The 20,456-nt window shown below is 39.3% G+C and overlaps 1 protein-coding gene and 1 long non-coding RNA gene across 21 annotated transcripts in view, besides 3 other annotated features; one reads left to right on the forward strand and one right to left on the reverse strand.

The window, feature by feature from the left end:
* Positions 1-2,133: 2,133 nt before the first annotated feature.
* On the reverse strand, positions 2,134-10,557 carry SPAG16-DT (SPAG16 divergent transcript). Of its 2 annotated transcripts, NR_161186.1 has the most exons (3): positions 10,381-10,557; positions 4,716-4,879; positions 2,134-4,289 (listed from the first exon to the last, which is right to left on the reverse strand). It is a non-coding gene; the product is annotated as an SPAG16 divergent transcript (long non-coding RNA). The 2 variants fall into 2 exon arrangements; NR_144752.1 differs by lacking the exon at positions 4,716-4,879 and having other exon boundaries at positions 2,134-2,587.
* Positions 10,812-20,456, forward strand: part of SPAG16 (sperm associated antigen 16) — a 1,126,038-nt gene continuing 1,116,393 nt past the window's right edge. For 17 of the 19 annotated variants that reach the window (NR_047660.2, NM_024532.5, XM_011511820.3 and 14 more), the window contains exon 1: positions 10,812-10,967. Coding sequence is in view for 17 of the 19 variants with exons in the window: in NM_024532.5 (NP_078808.3) it covers positions 10,832-10,967 (136 nt within the window). In the remaining 2 variants the exon portion in view is untranslated. Of the gene's footprint in view, positions 11,100-12,233; positions 12,267-20,456 lie in introns of all 19 variants that reach the window. The other 2 variants (NR_047659.2, XM_011511814.2) reach the window with 2 other exon arrangements.
* Positions 10,845-10,974: an enhancer, noted in NCBI's record as "active region_17064". NCBI's record gives its function as "activates an Ori minimal core promoter by ATAC-STARR-seq in GM12878 lymphoblastoid cells {active_cell/tissue: GM12878}" and the evidence as "EXISTENCE:reporter gene assay evidence [ECO:0000049][PMID:35858748]".
* Positions 11,015-11,064: an enhancer, noted in NCBI's record as "active region_17065". NCBI's record gives its function as "activates an Ori minimal core promoter by ATAC-STARR-seq in GM12878 lymphoblastoid cells {active_cell/tissue: GM12878}" and the evidence as "EXISTENCE:reporter gene assay evidence [ECO:0000049][PMID:35858748]".
* Positions 11,135-11,214: an enhancer, noted in NCBI's record as "active region_17066". NCBI's record gives its function as "activates an Ori minimal core promoter by ATAC-STARR-seq in GM12878 lymphoblastoid cells {active_cell/tissue: GM12878}" and the evidence as "EXISTENCE:reporter gene assay evidence [ECO:0000049][PMID:35858748]".

Consider the following 20,456-nt stretch of genomic DNA (forward strand, 5'->3'; position numbering starts at 1 on the left):
CTCACCACACCAAGAAGTAGATGCCTTCATGTGGGTGGTATCCGTAGATCTTAGGCATAACTATATGGGTAACAGTGGTATGGGAGTGCTTTGAGTGGTACAGGGCAATTTGCTGAGTGCCCTTCACAGTAAGGTCAGGTAGAAAGACAGTGTCTCAGACACACTTTCCACATTACTTCTCTCTCAGAAGCCAAAATAGTGAGTAATCTTACTAAAGAGAGGCAGTTTTTCATGACTGAAGCTTTCTTAGAAAATAGAATATTTATTTCCCTCTAAATTCAAGTTTATAATCGAGTAGCCATTGGATTTTCTGGGATGTTTATTAAAAATTCGTGATCAACCAGCAATAATTTTCAACTGTCTCAGTCTCTGGGAACAATCATCCTTATTCAAATGTTCCCTGGCTGCTAAGTTCACTCATCTGAATATTTTATATTCTATTTCTTTTTTAATGTTTCAAATGTTTCTACGTAAAAACAAAAAAAGATTCCAAAGCATTGACTGTTTAAAGTAGGTAAATATGAAAAAATGGTAATGAATGGGTAGATTTACATAAGTAAACTTTGTCTGGATATTGGAATTATTAAAGAATTTAAAAATAACATTGTGCTGTAAATGCAAGAGTAATGCTAGGGAATATTGATAGGATGTCAGTTTTCATAGGTTGTAGTTAAAGTAGGGAAAATTGAAGCCGTCATAGCTGTCAGCATAATTGTACCATCCTTGTCTCAGGAAACCTTTCTCCTGCTCTAGTTTGTCATCAGCAACTACTGTCTCTAAAGTTCCTGTGATATTCTTATAAACACAAATTATTTTTCTTCTACAAATTTTATGAAAACTTTACAATCATCTGCTTGTGCCTAATTAATTTATAAAGTTATTGATAAGGATTTATGAAATACGTAAGTCCTGAAAATCAGGGTGTGTCTGTGTCAGGTAGGAGGGTACCTCTAGACCTTAATTCAATTAACATCAAGGAAGTAATTTAGATTCAAAGTAGGGTTTAAAGCAAGTACACATATTGAACTGCAGAAGTGGCTTATCATAAAAAAATATATTTTTTAGGGGCCTGGCATGGTAGCCCATGCCTATAATCCCAGCAATTTAGAGGGCCAAGGTGTGAGGATTACTTGAGGCCAGGAGTTCAAGACCAGCCTGGGTAGTGCAGTGAGATCCTGTCTCAAAAAAAAAAAAAAAAAGAAAAAGAAAAAGAAAAGAAAAATCTGGGCATTGTGGCATGCATCTGTAGTCTCAGCTATTCCAGCTACTCAGGAGGTTGAGGTGGGAGGCTTCCTTGGGCTCATAAATTTGAGGCTACAGTGAGTTATGATCATGCCACTGCATTCCATCCTGGGTGACAGAGGGAGACCCTGTCTCTAAAAAAAAATACATTTTTAATTAAAATCTGACTAACCCTTATGTATTTCACATATGGGTCTTAGCTTTCATTACTCTCATGTTTTCTGAATCTCTGATTTGTGTGGTTCTGTGCACAAGAATCTGTCTCAACAGTCCCAGGATCTGACCAGCTTGGATACGATGTACTAACTGGCCTATTCACTACCAAACTTGCTTTCCTACCTCCAGGAAGGAAATGGAGCTAAAATGAGTTATCTTTTACAAAGGGAACAATTCAAACTCTGCTTCCCATTATCTAAAAAGAATTGAGCATTGCATTATGTGCTTAGAAAAAATTTTTTTCTTCTCCTTCTTTCTTTCCTTCCTTCCTTCCTCCCTATTTCTGTCTCTTTCTTCTTTCATGTAATATGCATAATTGTAGACATGCTAAGACATGTTAAAGTCAATCAGGGATTACACAATACTTTAGATAAATCTACTCTGTTTCAGGTATAGGATGTGACAGTTGAGGATCAGGAGAACTTGCAATGGCTGGAAGAAGGCTCTCTCCAGCAAGACTGTCTTGGAAATTGCTGTATACCCCACTGCATATCGAACAGTGGAATTTTCTTAAGCAAGTCTCCACTGCTCAAAGTGGGCATTAGATGTGTGTTAAATGTTCACTGCTAGAATTGTCATAATGCTTTCCCAAGTCAGACTTCCATTTCTTTTTTAAATACATTTAAAACTTTTTATTTTGATAGAATTTTAGATTTACAGAAGAGTTACAAAGATAGTATAGCTTAACTCAGCTTTTCCTTTTTTATTTTTTATTTTTAACTTTTAAGTTAAGTTCAGGGGTGTTGTGGTACATATACACCATGGAATACTTTACACCCATTAAAAAGAATGAGATCACGTTCTTTGCAGGGACATGGATAGAGCTGGAGGGCATTATCCTTACCAAACTAACACAGGAACAGAAAACCAAATGTGGCATGTTCTCACGTATCAGTGGGAGCAAAATGATGAAAACACATAGACACATAGAGGGGAACAACAGACTTCCATTTCTATCTACCTCTTTCTCTGCACAATTCTTCTGTCTTGCCAGTCATTGTCTTTGTTGCTTTCTTTACCACTGTTTTAAAGTCCTTCTCTTCTCAGTCCATAGATAGTGCCTGATGAGGAAGTGAACAAGATAGAGGAGGGTGCCCTGGACTTCAAAGGTAGCCCATTCAGTTTTCTCCTATGTATGAAAACAAACCATATTTTTTCATCTGTGTCATGAGAATAGCACTTTCAGGTCTAAATTCACAAAGGCACATCATATTAGCCCTTTTGTGTGTGGTAAGAACACTGAATATGAGGTCTACCCTCTCAACACATTTTAAAGTACACAATACAATGTTATTGTATATCAGATAGTTTTAGGAAAAAACCCTCAGCAGCAAAACAAATCTTGAAATAGTATGGAAGTAATGGTGATTCCATACAGAGTCAATTTACCAGGAGGTCTTGTTGAATTGCAAGTGACAGAAAGCCCAACAGAAACTGACTTAAGCAAAAGGAATTTATTGTTTTAAAAGAAAGGTCAATGGTGAGGCTTGTTTAAGGAAATGTTAGAATAAAGGTTCAAGCAACTCTTTAAAAATTTTTTTATTTCAGAATAGTTTTAGATGTACCAAGAAGTTGCAAAGATAAAGAAAGTTCCCATATACTCATATTCAGTTTTCCCTACTTTGAACATCTTACATCAATATGGTGCATTTGTTACATCTAATGAACCATTATTGACACATTATTATTAACTAAATAAAGTCCATACTTTATTCAGATATCCTTCGTTTTTACATAATATTCTTTTTGCCCTAGGATCCCACATTACATTCAGTCAGCATACCTCTTTAGGGATCTCTTGGTTGTGAAAGTTTCCCTCTTTTCTTGTTTGATGATTGATATGGTTTGGCTGTGTCCCACCCAAATATCATCTTGAATTGTACTCCCATAATTCTCACATGTTGAGGGAAAAATTCTGTGGGAGAAAATTAAATCATGGGGGTGGTTTCCCCCATACTGTTCTTGTGGTAGTGAATAAGTCACACAAGATCTGATGGTTTTCAAAACAGGAGTTCCCTGCACAAGCTCTCTTTGCCTGCTGACATTGATATAAGATGTGACTTGCTCCTCCTTGCCTTCCACCATGATTCTGAGGCCTCCTCAGCCACGTGGAACTGTGAGTCCAATTAAACCTCTTTATTTTGTAAATTGCCCAGTCTCAGGTATGTTTTTATTAGCAGCATGAAAACAGACTAATACAGTAAATTGGTTCCAGGAGTGGGGTGTTGCTGAAAAGACAGCCAAAAATGTGAAAGCAACTTTGGAACTTTGTAATAGGCAGAGGTTGGAACAGCTTGGAGGGCTCAGAAGACAGGAAAATGTCGGAGAGTTTGGAACTTCCTAGAGACTTGTTGAATGGCTTTGCCCAAAATGCTGATAGCAATATGGACAATGAAATCCAGGCTGAGGTAATCTCAGATGGAGATGAGGACCTTGTTGGGAACTGGAGCAAAGGTGGCTCTTGTTATGTTTTAATAAAGAGATTAGTGGCATTTTGCCCCTGCCCTAGAGATTTGTCGAACTTTGAACTTGAGAGAGATAATTTAGGGTATCTGGCAGAAGAAATTTCTAAGCAGCAAAGCATTCAAGAGGTGACTTGGGTGCTGTTAAAGGCATTCAGTTTTATAAGGGAAGCAGAGCATAAATGTTCGGAAAATTTGCAGCCTGACAATGTGATAGAAAAGAAAAATCCCATTTTCTGACGAGAAATTCAAGCCAGTTGCAGAAATTTGCGTAAGTAACAAGTAACCGAATGTTAATCCCCAAGACAATAGGAAAAATGCCTCCAGGGCATGTGAGAGGTCTTCACGGCAGCCCTTCTCATCACAGGCCTGGAAGTATAGGAGGAAAAAGTGGTTTTGAGGGCTGGTCCCAGGGTCCCCATGCTGTGTGCAGTCTAGGGACTTGGTGCCCTGTGTCCCAGCTGCTCTAGCCGTGGCTGAAAGGGGCCAAAGTAGAGCTTGGGCCATGGCTTCACAGGGTGCAAGCCTGAAGCCTTGGCAGCTTCTGTATGGTGTTGAGCCTGCCTGTGCACAGAAGTCAAGAATTGGGGTTTGGGAACCTCCACCTAGGTCTCAGAGGATGTATGGAAACGCCTGGATGTCCGCGCAGAAGTTTGCTGCAGGGGCGGGGCTCTCATGGAGAACCTCTGCTAGGGCAGTGCAGAAGGGAAATGTGGGGTCAGGGCCCCCGCACACAGTCCCTACTGGGGCACTGCCTAGTGGAGCCGTTAAGAAGAGGGCCACTGTCCATCATACCCCAGAAAGGTAGATCCACCGATAGCTTGCACTGTGCACCTGGAAAAGCTGCAGACACTCAATGCCAGCCCATGAAAGCAGCCAGGAGGGAGATTGTACCCTGCAAAGCCACAGGGGTGGAGCTGCCCAAGACCATGGGAAACCATCTCTTGCATCAGCTTGACCTGGATGTGAGACACGGAGTAAAAGGAGATCATTTTGGAGCTTTAAGATTTGACTGCCTTGCTGGAGTTTGGACTTGCATGGAGCCTGTAGCTCCTTTGTTTGGCCAATGTCTCTCATCTGGAATGGCTGTATTTACCCAATCCCTGTAACCCCACTGTATCTAGGAATTAACTAACTTGCTTTTGATTTTACAGGATCATAGGTAGAAGGGACTTGCCTTGTGTCAGATGATACTTTGTACTGTGCACTTTTAGGTTATTGCTGAAATGAGTTAAGACTTTAGGGGACTGTTAGGAATGCAGGATTGGTTTTAATATGTGAGGACATGAGATTTGGGAGGGGCCAGGGGTGGAATGATATTGTTTGGCTGTCTCCGTCCAAATCTCATCTTGAATTATACTCCCATAATTCCCACATGTTGTGGGAGGAACCTGGTGGGAGATAATTGAATCATGGGGCTGGTTTCTCCCATACTGTTCTTGTGGTAGTGAATCAGTCCCATTAGATCTGATGGTTTTAAAAACGGGAGTTCCCTGTACTAGCTCTCTTTGCTTGCCACCATCAATGTAAGAAATTACTTGCTCCTTCTTGCCTTCTGCCATGATTATGAGGCCTCCCCAGCCACATGAAACTGTGAGTCCAGTTAAACCTGTTTCTTTTGTAAATTGCTCAGTCTTGCATATGTCTTTATCAGCAGTGTGAAAATGGACTAATACAATGATGTTGATAGTTTTGAGAAGTACTGGTAAGGTATGTTGTAGAATTTCCCTCAGTTGATATTTATCTGATGTTATCTCTTGATTGATTTGTGGTTATTGGTTTTGGGGAGTAAGATCACAGAGATGAAGTGCCATTCTCATTACATCATACCAAGAGTACATATTGTCAACATGACTTATCACTGTTGAAATTAATCTTGATCACCTGGGTGTGGTGGTGTTTATCAGCTTTCTTCACTGTCAAGTTGGGATTTTACTATACAAGAAACTCACTATGTGTAGTCTATACTTAAGGAACATGCAGCTATGCTCCATCTCCTGGAATGTAGAGTATCTACATAAATTACTTGAAATTATTCATCACGGGAGATTTTCCCATTCTTCTCCATTCATTTATTTATCATTTAATCATTTATTTGTATCAGTATGGACTCACAGATATTTCTTTTATACTTTGAGTTATATTTCAGTACTACTTTATTAATTTGATTGCTCAAATTGTCCTAGCTTCACCTAGGACAATTGGCTGCTGTGTCCTTTTGACCTATGTCCATCACTTTGAGATTTTTTTTTTAGAGGTGGGATCTTTTTTACTTTCTGGAACTGTAAGATCCTCTAGGCTCATCTTGTTTATTCCCAGTCAAGCCCTAAAACCAGCCATCTCTCCAAGGAGCCCTCTATCCTTTTAATTAGAAAATGGTGTTAACATCTAAAATCTGAAGTGCTCATTGTAATGGGGGTGTTCTTGCTTCTAGCTTATAGAGCAAAGAAATAAATGTGTGTATATACAGGTTTAAGTCATTGTATCTGGGCTTAAGTTTTCTCTTTCTTCACTCAGGTCTTCCATGCTGACTCAATTCTTAGATAGATAATTTCTTCATACTTGCAATCATGCTGGAGCAACTCCAGAACTAAGTCCCAAGGGGCAGAGTACGAATCTCCCAAAATTTCCAACAAATTCTTACCAAATCTAATTTGGCTCCTTTTAAGACACATACCAACTTCAGAACTGATCACAGTAGCCAAGAATAATGAGATATTCTTTTGGGTTAAACCTGGAACATATGTTCCTTGCCAGAGACAGAGGATTGACCCTGTTTGAACTACATGGGCTCAGAACACTAGAGAAATGAGTTTTCAGTGGTTGTTGGTGAAAAAGTGAAATATATATGCTGTATGTTTGAAATGATACTTTTCCACCATTGTCAATTAGTACTACTTCTATGAATTCAGAAATCTAAAATTGGCCACCACTTACAGTGAAGTCTTGAAAGAAAATAAGATAGTTACTTTTATAAAGAGATGCATCAGTAAATGGCTTGGGCTCTATCTATAGCAAATGAATGCTCGTAACTTCTGAAAATTGAATAGCACTTTACTGTATTATTGCATGTAATTATTTTCTGCTTTAAAACTAAAAATAAAAAGAGTACATCCATTGTCAGCTTCCTTTCTGGTTTTGCTTTTTAAAATAATTTCACTTTTACATAAACGGAGCATTTAGGCTGGGAGGAGATAAAATTTGTTGTCTTTTGTGGTTGTTGCTTTATTTTTACTGTCTCCATTGGTTTTCTTTATTTACCTTTTTCAGTAACACATTCAAAGGGAAAGTAGATAGTTTGCTGTTCATTCATCAAAATATTAAGGCACTTTTTTTCCACTCCAAGGAAGTTTGTGCAGTATATTAAAAAGGAAATATTATAGGATGCAAAGGCATTATAAACCAAACAATTACTGTGGTCTGAAGTTTTTGTTCTTTCTCAGTAAAGCTTTCATACTTCTTTTTAATTAAACTAGTTATTAACAGAATAAAAATTCAAATGTAACACATTTATTTTCAAATTTGTTCCTTGAAAATACATACTAGTTTAAAGATATTAGCAGTCCTCCTAAAAGGTTGCATCAAGTTTTTACTTGAAGGCAATTATTGGTTCTGTTTATATTTGTTAAAATTATTTTTTGCTTTTATTTCATTGCTTTTCAAACCATCGTAGAGACCAAAAGGTTTACAAAAGAAAATGTTAACATAGCTTTAATTGGAATTTTTAAAACCACTTCTGCTTAGGTCCCTGTGAAATGTGTTTCAAATTGTAGTTGAACCACAAATATCTTGGGTGACTTCCAATTTTGAAATCCATGAAATGGATATAATCAAAATAGTAACTCTGAATTAAAATTTTGGCTACTTGAAAACTTCACAGAATTAGACTTACAGGTTTTTATTTGTTTGAGGAGTGTAGTTAATGATACTTATTTCAGTCATAAGTCTTCTGTTTTTGAACTCTTTGGAGAAGAATTTTTTCCCATTTCTCCTCTACATTAAGCAGTGGATATTGGTCACAATTTATTCATTTTATATGACTCTATTAAACTGTTTCCCTTTTTTGAGTGCTGCATATTTCGTTCTTTTTCTTTCTTTCTTTCTTTTTTTTTTTTGAGATGGAGTCTTGCTCTGTTGTCCAGGCTGGAGTGCAGTGGCGTGATCTCAGCTCACTGCAACCTCTGCCTCCCGGGTTGCAGTGATTCTCCTGCCTCAGCCTCCTGAGTAGCTGGGACTACAGGCATGTGCCACCACACCCGGCTAATTTTTTGTATTTTTCGTAGAGATGGGGTTTCACTATGTTATCAAGGATGGTCTCGATCTCCTGACCTTGTGATCCGTCTGCCTTGGCCTCCTAAAGTGCTGGGATTACAGGCGTGAGCCACCGTGCCTGGCTGAGTGCTGCATATTTCTAAAAATATTTAACTTTTATCTTAAGTTGTTTCTATATGTTTAAGTTTCTTCCAAATATAATATCTAATTTAAGCTTGCATATTCATTCAATATTTTAAGCACATTTTATTAACGATTATTTACTGAAAACATTTGATATACCAGACATGGTTATAAGTGCTTTCTACATATTTCGTTTAGTCTTCATACTTTAGTAAGGTAGGTACTAAAATCTCCGGTTTACAGAACAGGAAACTAAGGCTCAGAGAACTTAATTAAGGTCATACAGAAGAGGCAGGAGACAAACATCTGTAGAAGATCACACACTACATCTAAAAAGTCAGAAATAGATGAGCCATTGTAACGAACAAAAACAAATAAAAGTAAACAGTAATCGCTCTGAGAGACCATCCTTCATGTCTTTTGTGTTCCTACATGTCTTGCTGGATATGCCAAAAATGTAAGGCCTTGACCACTCCTTACCCAGGTCATTTGTTAAGGCTGGATTTATAGGAAACAACCTTGAGAGATAAGGTAATGCCTTCTTCTGAAATAAAGAGAAAGCTTTCTGTAAAAGCAGTGGATTCTCCAATGTCAGAATTCTTCTGTATTTTCAGCCTCCTGTAATTGTTCCTTGCATTTAATGAGTACTCAGGAAATGTCTGATGTGAGAAGTCAAGGACAAAGAGTAGGGTAGTAAAAGAATAGGTACCAGGAATGAATTACCCGACTATTATATCTGTGACCCTTGATTATTCTAAAAAATAAAACAATATCAAACACATTTAATAGAAATAACAGCTAACATTTCTTAGTGTCTTCTATGTTCCCAGTAAGTTCTTAATGCTTTTTGTTGCTTTACCCCTTGCAACAGCACTTTGAGGTAGGTAATATTGTTGTCTTTGTTCTACAAATGATGAAACTGGGGCCTAGAGGCATTAAGTAGTAGTTTGCCCAATGTGTCATAGCTAGTAAGTGATGGAAGCAGGCTCTGAAAGCTGTCTCTCTGGCTCTGACACACGTACTCTCAAACACCTCCTTAGGAAGTTACTGCTACCTTTTGGTAATAAATGGGAGCTTTTATAGGATCACTGGCTTCCAGTTTTCACCAAGAAATGTAGAATGAAAAATAATACCATTTGCCCTAGCAATCCCATTACTGGGTATATACCCAAAGAAACAGAAATTGTTCTACCATAAAAACACATGTACATGCGTGTTCATTGATATTCATGATAAAGACATGGATTCAACCTAAATGCCCATCAACGGACTGGATAAAGAAAATGTGGTACACATATACCATGGAATACTATGCAGCCACAGAAGAATGAGATCATGTCCTCTCAGGGACATGAATGCAGCTGGAGGCCATTATCCTTAGCAAACTAATGCAGGAACAGAAAACCAAATACTGCATGTTCTTAGTTGTAAGTGGGAGCTAAATAATGAGAACAAATGGACACAAAGAAGGAACAACAGACACTGGGGCCTACTTGAGGAGGAGAGTGGGAGGAGGGAGAAGATCAGAAAAAATAACTATTGGGTACTACACTTAGTACCTGGGTGACGAAATAAGTTATATACCAAACCCCTGCGACATGAGCTTACCTGCACTTGTACCCCTGAACCTAAAATAAAAGTTAAGGGAAAAAAAAATATTTGCAAAGAAAAGGGCCTTGAATTTGCTTCTGATACATACGCGATATAACCTGAGGAAGATCCTCTCAGCAATAAGACTATACATGATGGGGCAAGTGTCAACTGCATACATTTGTCAGGACCAAATTTGTAGCTCATAATTTTTATGCAACTGTTTTTACCTTGGCGAGAATCAATGCTACAAATACTATTCCAAGTCTTAGTATATGGAACCAAACTCAAAACAGATGTCCAGCTAAATGCATTAAAGATCACAAGAAAGGAATTGACAAAGCTGAACACCATAGTTCTTCATTGCTAAGCATCTGAGGAGCGTCTGGTAGCTCCCCTGGGTCAGTCTTTCTATTATGATTTCTAGAACTTTATTTTTTCATTTTTTAAAAAATTCCAGGTGTTGAGAACTCACCTTTTCTAGTAGTTTTCCCTGGGAACACTTGGGGATCTACAAACATCTGAAATTGGAGGATGCTAATGGGCAAGAATCAAGAGAAAGGTAATTCAGAGACGACAACGAAGTGGGAAAGAAATTACAGGGTCAAAGCGAAAGAAAACCAAGCTGCTTGGGTAGGAAGGTGCAATGCAAGCCAATTGTTTACTGTATCTTGTCCGCTCCCAGAGCTGCGCCCGAGCTCTCGCGTTAACTAGGCAACATCGTTGCCACGGTAACTGGGAGGCGCGGGAGGGCGACAGCTCCCTGGACTCCCGGTAACCCTTACGTGCCCGGGGCTGGTCCGTGGGGCGGGGTGAGAGATGCCGGAATCTCGCGAGAGCTCCCGGGGGCCGTTGGGTAGCGTCTTCGCTGTTGCCCTTAGGGACGGCTGTGGGCCTGCTGGGGGTGGGGGCCCGAAGCGCCAGAGATGGCTGCTCAGCGAGGGATGCCCAGCTCCGCCGTGAGGGTCCTGGAAGAGGCGTTGGGCATGGGTTTGACGGCAGCCGGGGACGCGAGGGACACGGCGGACGCGGTGGCGGCTGAGGGCGCCTACTACCTGGAACGTATCCTTCCCGTGGAGGCGCGGCCCGCTGCGCTGGCGGGTAATGGGTGTTGGGACGAAGGCGAGGGCCTCCCACTGGCGGCGCCTTTTGAGCCTTGGGGCCACTCCGGAGGAGCCTCTGTTGGACTTCAAGGTGCTGTTTTTGCCACCACAGTCTTCCTGAGAGCCACTCACTGAATTTCTCGCCCTTAGTAGCCCAGGGTGTCCTGTACCTGTTAGAAGAGTTGGGAGACCTTCCAAGGCCTCATACTTAGTAACCACTCAGTACATTTTGGATGGAGGGTTGCTTTTTATGTTAAGACAGCACAACAAATTGCTTCAACCCTCCTTTCAAATAATGGGTTTCCTAAATAAGCCCTCAATCTTTCAGAAAGCCGTCCCAATAAATTCAACGGAGGAACGTTAGGAGACTAGGGAAAGACCTCTGCCATTGGACTTTAAGGAGCTGAAGCTCAGAATACCCAACCCACGATCCTGTTCGATGGTCCAGTTAATGCTTAAATGCTTAGTTTTGATAGCATTATCTTCCTGAGTAGTTCCAAGTTTGACTACTTAATAATAAATACTAATAGTATAGTTGCTTTTTTTTCTTGAGCAAATAAATAATGATCTGGTGAGCTACACAGCTCAGAGATATTAGGAATAAAGCAGATGGTGATTAGCGATTTTTATCGGAAGTACCAGAAAAATTGAATAACAATGTGTGGATAATTAGGTCCACTATTTCTTGTGTAAGGCTTTAGAACTTCTTTCCTCTAGTTATATAGATTAATTCCTACTAGGGAGACGGGGAGGGTTCATGAGAAAAAGACATGTAACTCCTTTATTCAGGGAGGTAAGAAAGAGATGATTATCTGTTCAGTTCTTAAAGATACCAAGGAAACTCCAAAATCTGCCAAATCTTATTTGTTTGTCCAACTGTAATCCTCTCCAGGTTTAATTCAAGATTTCAGAAATCCAGCAATGATTCATTTCGTGAGCTTTGACAAGCCGATTAACCTGTCCTGACTCAGGCTCAGTACACATCCACACTACAGAGAGCTTTGAAGAATTTAGCTGAAAGATTAAAGAAAATATGTAGTATTTTATTGGGTGCAAAAACGACTTTTACAGGAATAGAAATTTGAATCGCTTGAAATGAATTTGAAAGAAATATATGGGTGCTTTAGTGTCATAAATGAGGTTTTATACTGTTTTCGTAGATGTAACAGGCAGTCTTTTCCAGTGATATTCCTCTTTAACAACGATTTTCATAATTCTTCCTAAGCTTATCTATATCCAGTGCCCTTGCTACTGAATGGTAACCAGGCATCTTGTAATTTTGTTTGCATTAAAATTATTTCCGTGAACACATAGTTTAATTGTTAACATGAGATTGACACAATGAGGTAACTTTTTGCAAACATCTTTGTGAAATAAATGGTAGGAGTCTAACATAACACAACTTTCAGCAATGAAAATCAGGTTTACTTAATGTGCAGGGAGATCACTGAGTCACACCTGCCAAGATGTAGCAGTTTGCAAACCTGTCTTACAAAGACTTTTTCAAATAATCACACTTATTTGAACTTTAACACATATAAGCAACTGTAACTTTTTAGGATTTTACTAACCGTTGTGTGAATTATCCAACCCATTTGCTTTTCTTCTTTCTTTGGTTGACTGACTGCTATTTTGTATTTTAACCAAATGGTAGTCAGGGGATACACAGTTAAACATTTAACCAGTTTATTTTGCTATATTCCATGCTGAGGGAAGAGGTTTAGTCATTTCAACTCTCAGTTGAAATGAAGTTTGAGGATTACTTGTGAATACCAATTATTCCTGTATCCCTGGGCACTCTTCACATGGTTAATTAAGAGTTGCCTGTGTAATGTTGTTTGACATTGTTTCTTAAGGCAATTATGATAGTTGCCAAAGTGAGACTTCCTTTGGTTTAAAGTCTTTGCTTTCAGGTAATTTAATTGAGCTATCATGGTGGGTAAATAAAAGTTATAATATGCACAGATGAATCAGAAATCTGATGTCCTCTGCTTCGCACATATACTCAATCACTTCTAATCTACTGCATTTGGCCTGGATTTCCCTTATTTATCACTCAACAGATGCTCCTAGTACATTAGACAATGAGCTATCAATATCGAGCAAGACTTTGAAAGAAGTTGACTTGAATTCTTTAGGAAATCTCCCACTTTTCTGCTTTTAAATACTCAATTATGAAGAGTATGAATAGACTAATGTCCAAACCAGAAACAGCCAGGATCCATCTTGTGGGGGACATTAATGAAGGTCCCATGTCCTTTATAATGGTTTACACACTGGGTTCAGGAAAAAGAGTTCTTACCCTGCAACACCCTTTCCCTGTAATCTCCTAGCTGTAACAGTGCCACCTATTTCTCTTCTAAGGAACCCAGAATATCATTGCTTTTATGTTTTAGACTTCAACAAGGTGAGATACAAATATACATTGTTCTTAGCTATTGTCAGAACACTAAGAAATTGAGTTATGGAGTATATGAATCCTCTCTAGAACCCATCATTAGAAAAATACTTGCAGCATTATAAACTATAAGGTGAGATTTTAGCTATGTGATAGATATGTAAAGGGTCAAGTAGGTATCTCCAGAACCTAGAAAGAAGGTTGATTGTCTTTTGTGAATGAATGAATCCCTTATTAGAAATCAACACAACTTGGGTGAGGTTTTCAACTGTAGTAGTGAGGAAGGGCTGCCTATTAATGTATGGCTGCAGACATTTGGGACTGCCTAGTTCCAATTGGAAGGCCAGCATGAATTTGTACTAAGAAAGCTAAGGGTTAATTGACTTTGTTGTTCCTTGTCTAAAGAGACTTTGTTCAAGGAATAGTAAATGAATACATGGACCCTAGGAAAGTGGAGCTTCAAGGTATTGTTTTTGTTACATACCTCCCTCAATATGGACATCTGGCTCCTCTAGCTTTTGATTATTTCCTCTCTCTGGGCATTCTAATACTAAGGATTTGGCTTTTTAGATGGTAGGTGTAAGTTTACTGGCCAATGAAAAAGGCTCCCCAACCCCCAGCAGCAATTTCTGAGAGTTCAGTAAGTTTAAGCCAGTTCTGTGAAGCTAATCAGCTCTGAATGGAGTCCCAAAGTCAACTCTTTCTGAAACTCCAAAATTAAGGACTCTAGACCCTGAAATATGAGGATCACACTAGACTGATGCCCTTATCTGAGATACTGAGGACTGTAATTGAAGTAGCAAGCCTGTAGATAAATATCTTAACTTCTACCATGCTACCTTTAAAAAAAATTATTATTTTTTTAGAGATGAGGTATTGCTCTGCTACCCAGGCTTGAGTACAGTGGCATGATCATAGCTCACTGCAACTTCAAATTCCTGGGCTCGAGCAATCTTCCCACCTCAGCTTCCTGAGTAGCGGGGACTGCAGATGTGCGGCACCATACCCAGCTAATTTTGTTTGTTTGTTTTTGTTTTTGGTAGAGACGGGGGTCTCACTCTGCTATTCAGATTGGTCTCGAACTCCTGTGCTCAAGGCATCCTACTGCCTTGGCCTCCCAAAGTGCTGGGATTACAGACATGAGCCACTGTACCAGGCTGCTGTCTTCTTAAGTAACAGTTCTATCTAGTCTTTCATTGCCATAGTAATGTTGACTGATAACTTTAATTAAAATTGAAGTTTTCCTTATTTTATTTTATTTTTTGAGACGGAGTCTCGCTCTGTCTCCCAGGCTGGAGTGTAGTGGCACGATCTCGGCTCACTGCAAGCTCTGCCTCCCGGATTCGTGCCATTCTGCTGCCCCAGCCTCCCGAGTAGCTGGGACTACAGGCATCTGCCACCACACCTGGCTAATTTTTTTTTTTTTGTATTTTCAGTAGAGACGGGGTTTCACTGTGTTAGCCAGGATGGTCTCGATCTCCTGACTTCGTGATCCATCCGCCTCAGCCTCCCAAAGTGCTGGGATTACAGGTGTGAGCCACCGCACCTGTCCTTTCCTTTTTTTAAATTTACTGTATGGTTTTTAACTTTTTTTTTTTTTAAAGCTAAACATTGTAGTTGAGTAAGTAAAACATTTAGAAAGGTGGATGCATAGATTTCTTTTTCTTTTTTAAAACTAACATTCTCTTAGATACATGTGTTAACCACTTTTTCTTCTGTTATAAAATGGTACTTCTCTGAAATGTTTGTAGTATTATAATTGTTCTGAACCCTAAAGTGTATTTCTTATCACTGGAACTTAATTTGTGCATGGGTTCTTAGATATTAGAACATACATACCCCGTGTATATTCAAATGAAAAGGATACACAACCTGCATATAGACAGACTAAGAACTATGTTACTAAATCCAGAGTGTTGATATTTACTTGTGTAAAAGTCATAGGCTATTTGGAGAGAAAAAAAATGTGTTTTGCTCTGTGTCCTTTAGTCAGGCGTTAATGTGCATATGACTCACCTGGGGAGCTTTAAATAAATATTCTAATTCAATAAGTCTGGCAAGGGGGCTGAGATTCTGCATTGCTAAGAAGCTTCCTGGTGCTGCGGTTGCTGCTGGTCTAAGGACTGTAATTGAAGTAGCAAGGCTGTAGATAAATATCTTAATCTCTAGCCTTTATATTTTCAGATAGAAATATCACATGTGGAGTCCATATCTTTGGATCTCCTGGCTTAGAAGTTGGAAAGACTTATACCACCAGCTGCCATGAGCACTGAGTCTTACATGCTGAACAAAAGTTATTTTCCAGTTATGAAGGTAGAAGATATGCAACAGCTATGTAGGACAGGGGTGGCCAGTACATTTCCACTCTTGCCAATTCTGTTGAATTGGTAGTGGCTCCCTGGTATAGGATATTAATAAGAATTCTGAGTCCTCATGAAGACTGTGTGGTAAAAACTGCAGGGAGCAATTGGCAAAAGGGAATGTGACCACAAGCATGCCAGCTACCTTCCATTTTTGTCTGTATTATTCAGTTAACTTATTTAAACTGGCCTTCCTAAGAAAGGGACCAAGACTATGATATTTGCTATTTACAGTATTTTTATTTCAACTTAATAAGTAAAATGTTGATCATGGAAGATCCAGGCTAGATTTTAGATTGAGTCTGTGTACGTTGGCTCTGCAGTGATGGCAAGGATTACAAAATGATTTCTGTCTATAGTAGCTTTGGGAAATCATGTAAAATATAATTAGCTATATGTTTCACTCCAGTTCTTCATAAAGATGCTGCTACTGCTGGCAGTAAACACTACCTACAAATGCAGCAGTGGAAGAGACCAGTGTGTAAGGTACTTTGCTGCTCACATCTGAAAATTATTCATTGGTTTCTGGCTCTGGTCCATTTGCAGAATGTTATTTGTCTCCCCCTCATACCAATTGGCACCTCAAGCTCTGCGCCATTAGGCCAACCAAAATGTCTCACCGAGGTTTCTGGCAGTTGTGTTCTCTGTAGTACTGTGATGGGCTTAGGGCTCCCTGGCAGTTTCAGTGTGGGTGTTACATTTTCCCATTTTCTGAAAAGATCGAGAATATCAGGATCTGGTGCAGGCTCTGCTAGTGCAGAAACTATGAGATAGTTCACCCATGGTGACTAAATACCAGGAAACTAATTCATGCTATGAAACTCACGAGTGCTACTAAATTCCTTCCAGAGCAAATGCAGATTTGGGAGGAATGGGAGCCTCAGTCTGTGTCTAGGTTATGACTAGAAATACAGAACCTGGCCTGGACTTGGATGGTACTGTGGGCTGTGGCTTCAGGGCAGGGAGAAAAGGGGAGCCATGGACACTACCCCAGGCAAGAACAATCTAGAAAACAAGGCACAGTATTAAGTGTCAAGTCAAGGCCAAGTGTGCAGATAGGTAAGAACCAGATATGAGGGGAACAGACAGGGCAGAAAAAAATTTTGGAACTGAAATTCACCAGTGTTCTTCGAAGGAATACTAGGCAGTTAGAGGGAAGGGAGTTTTGTGAGGGCTCAAAGGCAGCTTGACATTAAGAAACTGGATTTAGGCCAGAATGCTAGCTTATTATTTCAGTGAAAGAATAACTTTGCATGAGAACTGTGATTAGCTTAATTGTATGGATGTTTCCTGGAGAGTAGGATCACCTAAGAGATTAAATTACAGATGAGAAAGTTGCTCCGTGAAAGTAGAACCAGAGTGTACAGAGTTTTATCATTCTTGACGAATTAACCTTTTCTACTCTGGCAAGATTGTTATCCAAAACAATGCTTTCCAAAGTTTTTCACATACAGTACTCCATCACATCCTACTTCACTCTGCCTTTTTTACCGTCCCAAGGGCCAAGGGGATTGATATCTCTACACTGCACTATTCTTTTTATGAGAACCCAAGAATGTCATTTCTCTCAGGCTTTGGAACCAGATATTCCTGGATATCTGTTGAGAAACTCATCTGTTTTCATTGGGTCGATACAGAGATGGTATCTGATTCCATGTCCCTTTTTACCCTGGTTACTGGGAAGCTTAGAGTCAAATCTGGGGGTTATTTTTGACCAATCTTATGAGACCTATGGTATCTGCTGCATCTTAATCATATTTCTATAATGCTATTTCCTTTTCTCCTCCAATTTCCACATTCATTAATTGTTACATTTTGTATAGTGTGTGTATTTGCAAACTGTAGCAGAATCACTTTAGGATCAGTTTGTGCACCTGTCCCTACTGCCAGCTAGCTAGCCAGGTAAACAGATGCGTACAAACATAAGTGTCAAAGTACATTTATGTCTTTAATAACATTGTGACATTTAAACTGAGTTGCCTTTGGGAAATTTTAAATATAAATTATATTGTGGATACATAAAAATCAATCAAAGTATGTATCTTCCTAGTTTGATTGTTTTGTCCACTACCTGACGTATTGTCCCATCAGTCTCTTGCCCTTGGTTAGATTTCGTTTTGAGTCTGTAGCCTGTAGCTCTTTTCTACTTCTCTTTCCTCTGGGGGTCTTCAAATTGAGCTATTTATGTGATTTGATTTACCTGTTATTAATATAACACTTGAAAGTTTTTGGAAAAAAATAGGTGAGTTCATTACCTAGGATATTGGTAAAAAAGTTGTGTATTCCTATTGTGTCACTGTAGAAACAGTACTATGTAGCAGCAAATTTATGGCATTTGTATCTCAGGAATTTATCTTTGTCATTCACAGCTGTGTGATCTTGGGCAAATCTTTTAATCTCTGATTCAGTTTCTTCATTTTTAATTTAGAGATGGGTATATCTGTGCTGTTTGACCTCACTGGGTTGTGTGAGAATAAATATAGTTTTGGTCCATGTGAAAATACTTTTAAGCTTTATAAAATGGTAGTTATGTACTCTCTTAATCTTTTTTGATTGTGGGAAAGTAATACATTTAGGTGATAAAAAGCCATTGTCTAGAATATTTGCTGGGTAGGAGTATGTAAGTGTTGATTGATATTTTCTATGCTTCGAGGACAAATCACTTTTTTTCTACTCTATATTGCCATGTGACATCTTCCTCATATAATCTTATCAGCGGTTGGCTTATTTACAACTTTAAAGTCTATCCAGAAGCTTTTAGAGTATTTACTTCTTTTTGAAATTATTATGATGTGAACATGGTGAAGGATGGCATTGCTTTTCTGGAGACATACAAATGACCGCTTACAAAATTACTTTCTAGGAGCTGTCTCTCAGAAGGGGTCATGCTTTTTCATAGAAAAGAGGCTGACTTCCTCTAGCTGAACCTTCGGAAATTTTATCTCATTATATAAAACTATCAGAGGCCGGGTGCGGTGGCTCACGCCTGTAATCCCAGCACTTTGGGAGGCCGAGGCGGGCGGATCATGAGGTCAGGAGATCGAGACCATCCCGGCTAAAACGGTGAAACCCCGTCTCTACTAAAAATACAAAAAATTAGCCGGGCGTAGTGGCGGGCGCCTGTAGTCCCAGCTACTTGGGAGGCTGAGGCAGGAGAATGGCGTGAACCCGGGAGGCGGAGCTTGCAGTGAGCCGAGATCCCGCCACTGCACTCCAGCCTGGGCGACAGAGCGAGACTCCGTCTCAAAAAAAAAAAACAAAAAAAACAAAAAAAAACAAAACTATCAGAAAGATATAAATCTATAACTGGAGGGAAATTTAAAATGTCTTTTATTTATTCATTTTAACATATGGGGGAACAGAGGCATGAGAAATTTAAAAGATTTTTTTTTCCATAGATACTCATCTCTTTCCAGAGTGAGAAAAGAAATGACAACAAACACTTGTATATCATTTACTATAAGCCAGGCACTAATCTAAATGCTTTACATATATTGACTCTTAACATTCTTATAGTATGGAAGGAAGCCAGTCTCTAAAATAAAATGACACCCTGATATGGTTTGGCTCTGTGTCCCCACCCTAATCTCACCTTGAATTGTAATAATCCGTATGTGTCAAGGGCAGGACCTTGTAGAGGTAATTGGATCATAGGGCCAGTTTCCCCCATGCTGCTCTTGTGATAATGAGTGAGTATCGCAAGATCTCATGGTTTTGTAAGTGTCTGGCATTTCCACTGCTTGCACCCATTCTCTCTTTCATGGTGCCCTGTGAAGAAGTGCCTTCCGCCATGATTGTAAGTTTCCTGAGGTATCCTCAGCCATGCAGAACTATGAGTCAATTAAACCTCTTTTCCTTATAAATTACCCAGTCTTGGGTATTTCTTCATAGCAGCATGAGAATGAACTAATACGCATCCAGTGAGCCCCACCTCCTAATATTCATGCTCTTGTGTAATCCTCACACACTGAGTAGACGTGACCCATGTAACCAGTGGGATATTGAAGAAATGATGTGTGACTTCTGATGTTTGGTTAGAAAAGCTATTGTGGCATCCACATTGTTTTCTTGGACTGCTTATTCTGGGGGTAGTTAGCCCACCATATCTTGAGGATGCTCAAGCAGCCTGTGGAGAGACCCACATGGGGAAGAACTGAGGTCTTCTGGGAAACTAGTACATTGTCAGTGAGCTGCCATGGAAATGGATCCTGTTGCCTCATCTCAGCCTTCAGATGACTCTAATTCTCCTGTTATTTTGACTATGACATGAGAGACCCCCAAGTCAGATTCTACCAGATAAACCACTACTGAGCCCTTGACCCAGAGAAACTACAATATAATAAATGCTTATTGTTCCTTTTTCAGCGTTATTGAGTTGTAATTGACAACATTACATATATTCTAGGTGTACAACATATTTTGATTTACATATACATTGTGAAATGATTACCACACCCAAGCTAATTAACCTATTTACCTCATATAGTTACCTTTTCACTTTTATATTACTTGTGGTGAGAATATTTAAGATCTACTCTCTTTACAAATTTCAAGTGACACTCCATTATTATTAGCCATAGTTACTGTGCTATACATTAGGTCTCCATAAATTCTTCATCTTATAACTGAATGTTTGTGCAACGTTGATGAACATCCCCCCATTTTCCCTACCCTCTATTCATTGGTAACT

The sequence above is a fragment of the Homo sapiens genome, chromosome 2, assembly GCF_000001405.40.
Source record: "Homo sapiens chromosome 2, GRCh38.p14 Primary Assembly".
Taxonomy (NCBI): Eukaryota; Metazoa; Chordata; class Mammalia; order Primates; family Hominidae; genus Homo; species Homo sapiens.